The sequence below is a fragment of the Homo sapiens genome, chromosome 12, assembly GCF_000001405.40.
Source record: "Homo sapiens chromosome 12, GRCh38.p14 Primary Assembly".
Taxonomy (NCBI): Eukaryota; Metazoa; Chordata; class Mammalia; order Primates; family Hominidae; genus Homo; species Homo sapiens.
The window spans coordinates 40,181,222-40,194,371 of NC_000012.12; the positions used below are offsets into that span (position 1 = coordinate 40,181,222).

The 13,150-nt window shown below is 36.8% G+C and overlaps 1 long non-coding RNA gene across 2 annotated transcripts in view; it reads right to left on the reverse strand.

Moving 5' to 3' along the window:
• Positions 1-13,150, reverse strand: part of LRRK2-DT (LRRK2 divergent transcript) — an 82,057-nt gene that overhangs the window by 39,456 nt on the left and 29,451 nt on the right. Inside the window, exons 2-4 of one of the 2 annotated variants that reach the window (NR_186756.1) lie at positions 9,032-9,173; positions 7,862-7,984; positions 4,282-4,400 (exon numbers count right to left, since the gene is read on the reverse strand). The exons of the other annotated variant lie outside the window; for it this stretch is intronic. This is a non-coding gene — a long non-coding RNA (LRRK2 divergent transcript). The remainder of the gene's footprint in view (positions 1-4,281; positions 4,401-7,861; positions 7,985-9,031; positions 9,174-13,150) is intronic. 2 annotated transcript variants of the gene reach the window in all.

The following is a 13,150-nucleotide window of genomic DNA, read 5'->3' on the forward strand; positions in this document are numbered from 1 at the left end:
CTACTCGGGAGGCTGAGGCAGGAGAACGGCGAGAACCCGGGAGGTGGAGCTTGCAGTGAGCCGAGATCGCACCACTGCACTCCAGCCTGGGTGACAGAGCGAGACTCCATCTCAAAAAAAAACACAAAAAACCAAAGAAAACTGCCATGCAGTGAGTCTTTTGAGAGAACTGGTTTCTGCTTAGCCCTATGGAAGAAAGCCTAACGGCAGCTAGCAAGGAAAGGGAGCTGTTCTACCATCCTTTGCATCATGGCCAAGAATGCACTTTGAAGGTTTCTCCAGTGTACCCTTAGCCAAGAGGGAGTCTGTTCAGTCAGTGGGTGTGTGGTGGGGAAGGAGATTAGGATTTTATTTTTGTTTCTCAGTAGGTAGTGGGAGACATTTACAGTCATCTATTCTGATAAAACATTTTAAACATGCTCAATACTTTTAGACATTTGATCCCATTGGTTCTTTATTGTTCACTCTTATCTCAGAGCTTCCGGTGTTTGTTCTTTGATGTGGGTGTATTTTCACATCAGTTAAAAAAGTTATATTTTTTTCAGTCACAGGCAGGGTTACTGGGTATAAATATTAACTCAGCTTTATGAGGCAGGTACTCTTATTGACACATCTGCTTTACAAATGAGGAAACTGAGGTATGATAAGCTAAGTAACTTACAGCCATCAAACTAGTAATTAAGAAGCAGAAATATCCACTTAGGCAGGTTGAGGCCAGAATCCACCTGCTTATCCTCACACAAGCCGACCTGACTCTCAGTGCTGGCTTTGGAAATGGAACTCAATTATCCCAGGTCGCCAGGAGGGAAAATTGAGGTCCAGGAGGCTTCAAGCAATTTGCTCAAGGTTAACTAGTTCATTAGTAGTGACTGGGATTATTTCGTTTCACAATAAAAAAAAGAGAAGCAAATGAGGAAGGCTAGGATACCAAGAAGGAATGAGATCGTTTTGTGATAATTGAACAAAAGCTGGAAGTGACTAAATTCAAGAGAGAGGAAATTATTAATCAAAGTGAGTTTACATGTTTAAAAGTTGTCTCAGGTAGAATTGACTGAAATGTGCATCAATAAAGGTAGAAGCAACTAGATGCAGTTGCTCACGCCTGTAATCCTAGCACTTTGGGAGGTTGAGGTGGGAGAATCACTTGGGCCTAGAAGTTCAAGACGAGCCTGGGAAACAGGGACACCTTGTTTCTACAAAAAAATAAAAACAATTAGCCAGGTGTGGCGGTGTGCACCTGTAGTCCCAGCTACTTGAGAGGCTGAGCTGGGAGGATTGCTTGAGCTTGGAAGGTCAAGGCTGCAGTGAACAATGATTGCACTAATGCACTCCAGCCTGGAAGACAGAACAAGACCCTGTCTCCAAAATAAAATAAAATAAAATAAAATAAAATAAATAAAAATGAAGGTAGAAGAAAAGGTTGAATACAGAGATAAGGCAGAGGGGAAAAAACAACATTGTGAAAGCGCCTTTTTATAAGGTGTTCTCTGGGGTAAGGGATATTGTGTGGTGGTGCTATTCCAGCACAGCAGTATTGTGTAGAAACCCTACAGAGCAAAGACTAGGGGAAGGTCAGCAGTGCATAAGATGTTCAGAAAGCCAGCCTTCAGGTCTTGAATGCATCTTCACAGTCATCTGTCTTTTCACAATTATATTGCTATAGTAAAGCACATTTTCATGAATGGTATTGCTGATGATAAAACTCTAACTTATATAAAATAGGTCATTTTCAAACTACTTATTGCACAAAACATTTTACTTTATAAGCTTTCAGTAGGCCTTTATTAGAGTCCACGGTCCACCAAGCCCATAATTGCAGATTGGTACCAAGAAAAGTGCAGAGATTTCCAACTCAAGAAAATGAGTTTAGTGCATGACAATTAACAATTTGTTTACATTTATTTTTCCTGGTTGGTGTCTTAAAATAAATGAGTTCACTGAATGTCTTTATTCTTAGGAAAGGCATGCTGAAGTATTTAGGAGTGAGTTGTTATTATAATATTTTCAACTTATTTCCAAAGGTAAATATATATATATGCATGTATGTGTATGTATGTGTGTATGTGTATATATAGAGAGAGTCAGAGAGAGAGAGAGAGAGACTCTAAATGTGGTAAAATATCAATTCCTGAATCTAGGTGAAGGATATACAGATATTCATTGTACTACTTTCAATGTTTTTGTAAGCTTGAATTTTTAATACAAATGGAAAAAGATAAAACAGTGTTATAAACCAAAAATAAATTTCTAAGCCCCACAACCAACTGATGGAACCCCGATGCCATTTGGCCAATTGCATTCCAAAGTAAACCTGAAAATCTAGTTCAGGCCATGATGGGAAGAGGGGAGGATGAGACATGCCTCATTATACCCCCCTCTCTTTGGAATCCAGGCACAACTGACCAGCATTAACATTAAAACAGAGATCGTAAAACTGACAAGGCAGACTTTTTGTAGCAATAAGACATCAAGTATAGCATCACATGACAGATAGCAGGCCCAAAAAGAAATCAAAGTATTTTACCCCGAAATACATTTCTTGGGCATAACTGGAAATGGTTTTGCAGAGCTGTCTCTTGTGAGGAAAGTCTTCATTCTGTAGAGAATCTCCCTTCCTCTCCAGGTCTTTCCTCTCATCCAGGAGAGACTTAACTAAGAGTCTGGCATCTTTTTAGGCCTGATAAGAGCTCTCAAGTCTGCTACATGGAGGCTTCACTGCATGATAAAACCTTGGTTTCCACAACCCCTTATCTTAACCCAGGCATTTATTTCTATTCATTCCAGGCCTTCAGATAATAACTCTTTCAACCAACCCATTGCCAATCAGAAAATCTTTGAATCCACCTATGACCTGGAAGTCCCCCACACCATCTTCCAATTGTCCTGCCTTTCTGGACCAAACCAATGTACATTTTAGATGTCTCTCTAAAATGTATAAAACCAAGCTGTAGCCCAACTACCTTGGGCACATGTTCTCAGGATCTCCTGGGGCTGTGTCATGGGCCACCGGTCACTCACATTTGGCTCAAAATAAATCTCATCCAATATTTTACAGAGTTTGACTCTTTTCATTTACAGTATAATGAGTAGAAAAGATTCTTTCAGATTCTAGATTATGTTTTATATGAAGAATTGTAGTCTTGAGTGCTATTATTTTAAGCCAACGATTATTCCATAATTTTGTCTTATTTTTAAATGTTTTCTCATTTTAAAATTATTTTTTATAATTTTGATAATAGCTATTATTTATTTAATACTTACATATTAGGAGTTTTACATATATTATCACTAATCCTCACAAGAGTTCTGAAAGGTACATATTATTGTCTCAATTTTTCCGATAAGAAAATACATTTATTTGCCCTTGGTCACTTGCAACAATAAACGTTAGTGCCATGATTTGTGCCTAAGTGTGTTGGAATACAAACTCTGAGCTTTTCTCATTACATCACCTGCTCCTCATGCTAAGAAACTTCATTTGAAAGTTGGTGGGTAGGTGGTCCTTTGGAGGAGAGCCCTTTAGGCCAATTAAATTCTATTAAAACTTATTATTTTATGCCAAATGAGCAGGAAAACTAGTTCTGCTGCTTTTAGCTGTATCTCAAAGTCTTAACAACAAAGTTATCCACATCTGAAGACCTCTCCAAAACCTTCTCATGAAGGTTCCTTGCCTTATTTAATTGGATTAATTATCATAAGCAAGAGGCAATATACCAACTGCATGTTTAATAGTACTATTTCAACATATATTGACATTTGGTTGTTTCTTCAAGTTCCTAAAATTTTCTACTTTCAAACATGCATATTGTTATCATTAAGTGGCACTTTCTTCCCATAAGGCAATCATTCATTTAACAAATATTTGTTGAGCACTTAATAAGTGCTTATCACACCATGTTTGCATTTTATGGAAAATTCTGTTGCAATCTTAACTACATTTTGTTCCCGTTAAAGATAGTAACATTACATGATTTTCTTCCCCTTCACGATTTTAAAGTTTTCTGGCATAGGATAGTTATCTGGTGGACTATTTTTTAACATATTTACTCATAAGCTCCAAATTAAACAAGAATGTTTAAGTCCACAGTTCAAGAAAATTCACAAAGTTTTTCAGAGTTATTGATAAAGCCCCAGGATATTTTAAAGTAAAGGATCCTGTAATCCCAACATTTTGGGAGGTCGAGGAGAGTGTATCACTTGAGCCCAGGAATTCAAGACCAGCCTGGGCAACACGGCGAAACCCTGTCTTTACAAAAATTAGCTGGAGCTGGTGGCACTCACCTGTAATACCAGCTACTCGAGAGGCTGAGGTGGAAGGATCACTTGAGCCAGGAGAGGCCAAAGCTGCAGTGGTCTGTGTTTGTGCCACTGCACACCAGCCTGGGTGACAGAATGAGACCCTGTCTCAAAAAATAATAAACAAACAAACAAGCAAATAAGTAAAGGATCTTTTCTACTTTGGGATGATTTCAGTAGGGAGGACAGATGAGAGATGATTCCTTGGAATCACCTCTAACATTGTGTGCTTAGATATATGATGAGTGATAGTAAGTGTAGGCATTCTTGTTTTATTTTTACATTATTGGAAAAAAAGTGTATTTGCTTGAAATTTTGCTCATTAAGCTTGGCTATATGACTGCCATCAAGGTAAAGAAGCTTATCTGGAATGGATAATTTTCTCAAGCTCTGTTTGATGAAGTGAGATGCTGTCAAGATTCTCTTTACCATCAGCCCCAGGGATTTTTGACCTCATTTATCTGCAGATCTTTCTTCCTTTAAATGCAAAGTTAGAGTTCATTATTGAATGTGCCTCAACTTGTGTTTACATTTACTTAAGTTTATTTATTTTTTCTTCTTCAGAGCTTGAATTGTAAACTCTGCTTTAGAAGTAGTACAAATCTTCTTCACTCCCCCCATTTCATCCATCCCAGGAACATTCAAAGAAAATTCTTAGAGGTGAATCTGTAAAGGGGAATTAAAGGCAAGCATTGATTCCAGGAAAGATGGAGCAACAACAGCTTTTGCTTCTGGGGCTACAGTGACTTTGCCAACAGTAAGAAGAGTCTCAGAAATTGAGAAAAAAATAAGAAATAGGTTATTTATCTTGAGGCACATCGTTGACCACATATCCAGGCTCTTCCTTCACTTTTAGTTATGAAGCTTACCCTTTTCAATGACCTAGTGGCCTAAATCTCAAGGCAGCCTTAATTAAGGATACAATTTTCAGCTGAGAAACCAAGTTACAGCAAGATATTAAGTTTTTTTTTTCATAGATGTTAGTGTTTTAAAAAAAATAGTTATGTTGAGAAGGCAAAGGATCACTTATAGGTGATTTTAAGAATCAAAAGGATCCTTTGATATGCTTCTAGATAAAACATGTTGGCAATTTTCTACTTGATAATTGATGTACTATTGAGGTCATCACTAATCATTAAAAATATATGGATGGGTCACTTCTGATCAGATATTGTAGAATCGTTGGTATCTAGGTCGTACAATTTTAGAAAGTTCAGGAAAATGTCCCTGGCTCTCATTATCTCCCACATCTGACAGCAGTGATGTAGACATTTGATTCTTTGATTTGGGACTTTTCCTTTCCGGGAATGATCAGTAGAAATCCAAACACTGTGGATGTGGTAAGGCATATACAGTTACTACTCTTTTCACCTTAGAATAAGTTACTTCATCTGTTATCTGGAGAATGAATGGAACAAGACTGAAAGGGATTATATATTAATCATCACTTATCAGCCAGAGTGCCATATGAGGCCTCTAAATAGAGTTGGGATAGGTGGTTGGATAGAGACATAAAAGCCTAATCTCAGCTTTGCTATTATCAACAGGGCATCCTTGTGAAAGTCACCTCCCTTCCCCGGGTTTCAATTTCCTAATTTAGAAAAGGGTATTAGATTAGAATGATCTCTTGGTTACTGCCCAGTAATGTGAACCCCAAAGATCTGAAACAGGTCTCAGTTAATTTAGGAATTTTATTTTGCCAAGGTTGAGGACACACACCTGTGACACAGCCTCAGGAAGTCCTGACAACATGTGCCCAAGATGGTCAGAGCACAGCTCGGTTTTGTACATTTTAGGGAGACATGAGACATCAATCAACATATGTAAAATGAACATTAATTTGGTCCAGAAAGGTGGGACAACTTGAAGCAAAGGTGGGACAACTTGAAGCAAAGGTGGGACAACTCAAAGAGGGGACAGGCTTCAGGGCACAGGTTGGTGAGAGACAAATGGTTTAATTCTTTTGAGTTTCTGATTAGCCTTTCCAAAGGAGGCAATCAGATATGCATTTATCTCAGTGAGCAGAAGGATGACTTTGAATAGAATGGGAAGCAGGTTGACCCTAAGCAGTTCCCAGCTTGAATTTTCCCTGTAGCTTAGGGCTTTTGGGGGCCCAAGATATTTTCCTTTCACATTTCCCCCCTTTTCTTTCTAAAAATCTTTTGGAGAAAGCATTTTAGAAGAAAATGAGCCTCAGGTTCCAAGTTTTGTCTGATCTCTCATGGCTAGGATGGTTTATTCCTAGACAGGTAGGTCCTGAGTTATTAGGAAAGGTCATTTTTAGAAGGTTGTGAAGTCTCATATTCTATGAAGAGAAAATACAGAGAGGAAGGGAGAAAAACAACAACAAACAAAAGAACAATCCTGGAAAATTGATATAGGCCACATTACTCTAAAGTCCATACATTAGTAGATAGGTATGAAAGTTGTTTATGTATGTAAATAGGTTGCTGTTATTTTCTTCTGAAGTTTAAGTTGTCTAGCTTCAGTTCACAGGGCTTTACAGAAGCACAGCTTAGTTTTCAGTGACTGCAAATTAGGAAAAATGGGGGAAAGAAGCAGGGGAAAAAATGAAAAATGCTATATTGAAGAGTTGTAGCCAAGAAAAATTAGAATTAGGTCCAAATGGTAGAAAATAATAAAAATGGAAAAACATTAGGCAAGATTAGAATCTAACAACAGGTGTACTATAGTTTTTGAAACATAATTTTTCTGTCTCCAGTTTCCCATTTTTACTAAAGACAAATCATGGTAAGACTGGTTTGTTTTATTATACTGGGTCTAATTATTTGTATACAGTGCAGCAAGAATAATTATTTTTTTACATAGGCTTTTATTTTATTTATTTATTTATTTGAGATGGAGTCTCACTCTGTCACTGAGGCTGGAGTGCAGAGAAGTGATACTGGCTCACTGCAACCTCCGCCTCCCAGGTTCAAATTATTCTTATGCCTCAGCCTCCTGAGTAGCTGGGATTACAGTTGCCTACCACCACACCTGGCTACTTTTTGTATTTTTGGTGGAGGAAGAGTTTCATTATGTTGGCCAGGCTGGTCTCAAACTCCTGACCTCAAGTAATCCGCCTGTCTCGGCTTCCTAAAATGCTGGGATTACAGGTGTAAGCCACTGTAGCTGGCCTTACATAGGCTTTTAAATTCGATTTGATGGAACTGTGTTCCACAGAAAGAGTCCCAGATAAGACTTTCTAAAGCCGAGCCAGGCTATGGATTTGTGCCATTAAATACCTATGAGTTCAACGATCCTCTCCTCCTGAGGTTCCAAGATAAACTTAGGGCTCCTGGCTCCTGTTAGAAAGTGACAATCCTTACTTGCCACAAGTCAGAAAACATGTACAGGGGCTATGTAGACAAAGGTATGAGGCCAGTTTTTCCAAGGGTCTTTTATTTGCTCCATAAATCAAGTTTCATTCCTTAAAGGAAAGCACACCATTTCAGTAAAAGCCTTGGTAAAATAACCAGTTTCTCGAATTATGTCCTGTTATAAATGAAAGATTCTTATTACACTTATGCAAATAACTATATTGTCATAAGTTAAGAATACTCACAAATAGTTTCCAAATTTTGGAGAAATCAGGTAGAGAGAAAAAAATATGCTCCAAATTTTGTTCACAGGAGTATACCTTACTCAATTATTAAAAGCTGTAAACAGCTTAAAAGTTTTCTTGACTCTGGAAAACAAAATAAAGAATCAACAATATTTTAACCAAAAAGTTAAAAAGATTACTTTAGTCTTCTATTAGTTCAGTTCATGCAGTTTACTCCTGTTCTCCTTGATATTCATGAATATTTCAGCTCTCCATGAGAGTATTGAAAGTTTTTTCCTCCATTGTAATGTCACAATCTCCAAAGTTATCAGAAACCTGCTTTTAAGGACACCTGTTAGAGTTCTATAGCTGATTATAAAACCACATTCTAAGGAGGAGCAAAACAAGACAACAATTGTCCATGGATGACAAAAAGTTTTATGGCAGTCATAGTCAAAAACACAATTGATAAGGAAATTTGTTACCTCTGTGGCACACAATAATTTAACATAACAATTATAATTATTACTGATAATGTACACTATTATAATTATTACTGATAATGTACACTTAGTCACATCAGAAACATAGAAGTTTCCCATAATTTTGGAACACATAGCAGTAACATATTTGTACAAATACAGCCTAAAGAAAAACAAATGTCATTTCATATTTGACAATGTTTCCTGTATAATTTGTATACGAAATAAGCCAAATTATATCATTTTTGGACTTTAGGGAAACTAATGTCTTAAAGGATCAGTTAGGTCAGAAAAAGACATGTTATAATTTTATTTTGGAAAGCTTGTCAAATATCAAAGGTTTAAAACACTTGATGTCACAGGTAATTGTACAATAAATCATTTATTTGACCAAAGTGATAACTCAAGAATTTCAAAAAAAAGGTAAAAACCTTCATTCTTTGAGAGAGGAGACTGAATTTTCCAAACAATAAGCCCTAATAAAAACAACATGAAGCCAATTAGATTTATTTTCCCAAATTTCATAAACAATCTGTAAAATTTTAATCTTAACAATAAGATATAACTTCCATAAGCCTTTCATAACTTTTATTTAGGAGGTGGTAAATGCTTCAAGAAAACCTTGTTAATCTGAAATGGGCCTATATGCTGGTATTGCATCAGTGTGCCTTTGACATTAATTATTTATTTATAGAGAAACTGAACTTACTTTATCTCTCAATATCAGCCCTTCCAATGTCACACTCCCACCTCTTCCTCAATAGTCTCTGGGACTTGAGGACTTGAATAGCTTTAACGTCTGTCTGTGTTTCAGGAATGCAGTTTATTTTGATTGGTGTCTTCTACCAGACCTGAAGATGGGGCTTTAATTACCATCAGTGTTTAAAATTTAGCAGGACTTTGTATTCTTTTTAGACACAGGAGTCGAAGCCCTGTAACTCAATTTCACAAGTACTTTAAAAGTGCATACAGACAGATACATGGATGTAATAACCTTAACTAAAAAAAAAGATTAATTTCAGTTTTTTTCCTAAGAAAACCAAACCATATTAATAATAATATGACAACTTGATTATTTAAAACTTTGGGGTTTCTAAAAACTAAATCCTCTTACTATAACTTACACAGACCATTCATGACATGCTTCAACTGTATGGTTTGTTCTGAACATCCCTCTTTCTTAAATAAGCAATCATTTTACTCTAGGACTAAATTTACCATACAGGAGATTCTTTTGTATATGAAATTATTTCTCGTAAAGCTTTCTTAGCAAGAAAAACCTATTTATTTTTATAACTTTCTTTACATCTCTTTTATTTCCTGGTTCCTTTTACCTTGTGTTTTTTGAGATGGAGTCTCGCTTTGTCGCCCAGGCTGGAGTGCAGTGGCGTGATCTCAGCTCACTGCAAGCTCCGCCTCCCAGGTTCAGGCCATTCTCCTGCCTCAGCCTCCCAGGTAGCTGGGACTACAGGCGCCCGCCACCACGCCTGGCTAAATTTTTTTGTATTTTTAGTAGAGACAGGGTTTCACCGTGTCAGCCAGGATGGTCTCGATCTCCTGACCTCGTGATCTGCCTGCCTCAGCCTCTCAAAGTGCTGGGATTACAGGCGTGAGCCACCGCACCCGGCCACTTTTACCTTGTTTTATACATGACCTTTAAGTAAGCTTTGAATTAGACAAAAATTGCTCACCTTTTTTTTACAGGACACACCTTTTTTTTTGAAAGAATGTTTTCCTACAAATATATTTTTATTGGAAAATACCCAAATAATAACATATCTATTATTTAACTTAATATAACTTTAGATTCTAAATTTTAACAAGTTTGTGTACAAATATTTATCCTATTACATTTACCTAATTATTTTATTTAAATGTTTACCTAGAGTGTTTATGAAAACTGTGATAGTTATCATTTAAGTTATGGATCTGTCATTGCAAAATTATAACTGAGACAGTGAAGAAAATTTGACTTAGCTGACTCCATCTTGCTTTTAACCTTCAAGCTATCCTTGTCCATTCCTTGGTGTAGACTGAACTAACTTTGGGAGGAATTTATAGTTTAGCTTTAAAAACAGGCAATAACAAACTTTACTGCCTGTGGACTAGACCGCCTAAAGCCACAAGATTAGAAGTTATGATAATCTTATTAAATTCAAGATGTAGCTATTTTTAATAAACCAATATTAATGTCTTATTTAATTAAAGATTACACAAGCAAAGATCATTCTGTTTTGGCCTGGATTTATAGTTTTGTAACCTCTATGCCAAATTTTGACACCTTGGAGTACTTGTCAGGGATAAGTATAAAATTGCTTGACTAATAAATGCTAACAAAAATGTATACTGTCAAATTCTTATGACATTTCTAATATTATTTTACCAATAATTTTAAAGCCAGCTTATTTATTAAAGATTTTACTTAAGTAATATGAAGTTGAAAAAGCATTTTACTAGTCTTTTGTTTAGTATCTGATTTTAATTCCTTTTTTGTTAAGCCAATTAATTACAGCTCTTTTATATATTTTTAGTAGTGAAACATTGTATACACAACACATAAATATATAGAAGTATTAGGCATGCCAGTAGAAGTACATCTTATAGATTCATAAAGACTTCTTTCTTTTCCTTTTTTAAAAAAACCTTACCCTAGGCCATTGTCAGCTAAATAGCCTTAAATTTGCATATTAAAGGAAACAACTCCTTTAATCAGATAACAAAATTTACGTCATAAGGTATGAAGAGAAAGTCTGGTGAGCTAGAGGAAAATTAAAACGGATTTAATGGCTGATTAAACATAAAATTATAGAAGTCTATTATAAAGGCCCTCAAATGTATACACATACACATATGCATATACACATACACACACGAAGATTCTATAGCTTTTACCTCAGTACTCTAGCCTTTTGATACATACACATTAGCCAGCTTGCAAAAATAAAAAAATTAAAAAAAGAATACCTGTTAGATCCAAACAGCTGTTTTTATCTCAGTAGAAAAGTAACAGCAGATTTAAAGCAGGCAGAAATGAAAATGGAGATAAAGGGAACCTAGGAACTCTATAGTTTGCAGGTTGACCTCAGGGCACTTTTTCATTAATGTAAATGTACACAAAGACCATATTACTTTCATTTTATTCTGGCAAGTAGAAGTGCCATAAAACCTACATAGTGCTTGAAAGCAGGTCATTCTCCTTGTTTTCTCCTAATTCTTAGATTATCTGTTTCCTGCTTTTCTTTTTTTTTTTTTTTGGTCTTAAAAGGAGGAAATGAGCTGTGGCCTGGGGTTTTTGTGTGGTGGATTGATGCATGCTGCTTGTAGGCAGGACTCCATAGTGTGTCACCACTGAATTGTTTCCACCCCTTATGTGTCTCAGTTTCTCTCTCTTTTGAGACCTCTGAGAGGGCTCAAAATGCCGGGTGATCAGCCCTTATATGTGTTTCCTGGATGAGCCATTTTTAAAATTAATTTTTGTTGGGGATTTTCCTGCAGGGCCATTGCATGTCATAGGGGTCAACCCCTCAGACACTCTCACGAAGGCCCCCGTCACCCATGGGTGCCTTTCGGCTGGGAGGCCTTTTCTTTTCAGAACTGAGAAAACTCTGTCTCTTATTTACCTATGAAAACAACAGTTCAGTTCCTCATGCAAATGCACACAGACGAACCGAATTGAGATTATTTTGGGAGAAAAAGCAATAAAGAAAACCCTTTAGAATGCGTCTCCGAACTAGAATTAGGATCCTTAAGCAAATAACTTCCTAGGCAAGAAAGGAAATAAAGACAGCCAAGACCAGGTCCTGTAAACTGTATTCAGCTGCTTGTAAATTTGTAGCTGTCATTCGACATTATACACACCAACATCAAATCCTCTCACAGTGCAAGGTTATCTCTGGTATTCCCAAATCCATAGAGGTCAGGTCATGCAATACAGGAAAACAGAGCTTTAGACCAAAGAAGAATCTGCCCATGGCTCTTAAAACTCCCCAAAGAAAACAGAACACCCAAAAGGCCAAAAGGGGTGAGTGGCACCTTTGTTTTGAATTCTTTAAAGGAGTTCAAGTCATTAGAAGCCTTCTCTAGATTTTTTTGGTATTGCAGGAAGCAAACATAAAAACCAAGTGCACGTTTTTTTTGTTGTTGTTTTTTGTTTTTTTAATTCTCTTTTGCAGCTGTAAGGAATTTGGGCCAGATTAGAGAAACCTTGTTACCTATAATTTTGAATTCTTACTCTTATTTGACCAAGTCAGGTAGAGTTGATCAAATCTGATGGGAGAAAGACCAGAACAACCAACAACAACAACAACAACAACAACAACAACAAAACTCCAACAATATGATCAATGAGTGCTCTAATGGTAAGGAGAAATTAAGACCAGCTGGTTGTTAAACTTTAGTCAAGACAAAAACTCCCATGCGGCTGCTTACCTAGGGATGGGTCTCAGGCTGAAGAATGCTTTCTACCATTCTAGAAGTAGGAAAAAACTCATCTTCCCTGCTGGGAGCGAGCTCAAACTCCATAAAGGAGTTACCTGCCTTCCATCGTCGTCGTCATCGTCATGGAAACAGGAAATCTTGTCTTCCTGGTTGAAAGCCAGTAAAACTCCAAAAAATGGAGTTGTACAGCAAAATAAACTTTAGATCTCGACCAAATTTGGGGAGATAAGGGATTCTCTGGAGGTGCTGCTCCCAGACCTCAGCAAATTGTCCTGTTGTTTTGAGCCATAGAGTTAGCTGATGTTGGCACCAAGCACTGAAAGGAGATTTGTCAGATGTAAACCCTGAAAATCTGAGACAGGTCTCAGTTAATTTAGATAGTTTAGTTTGC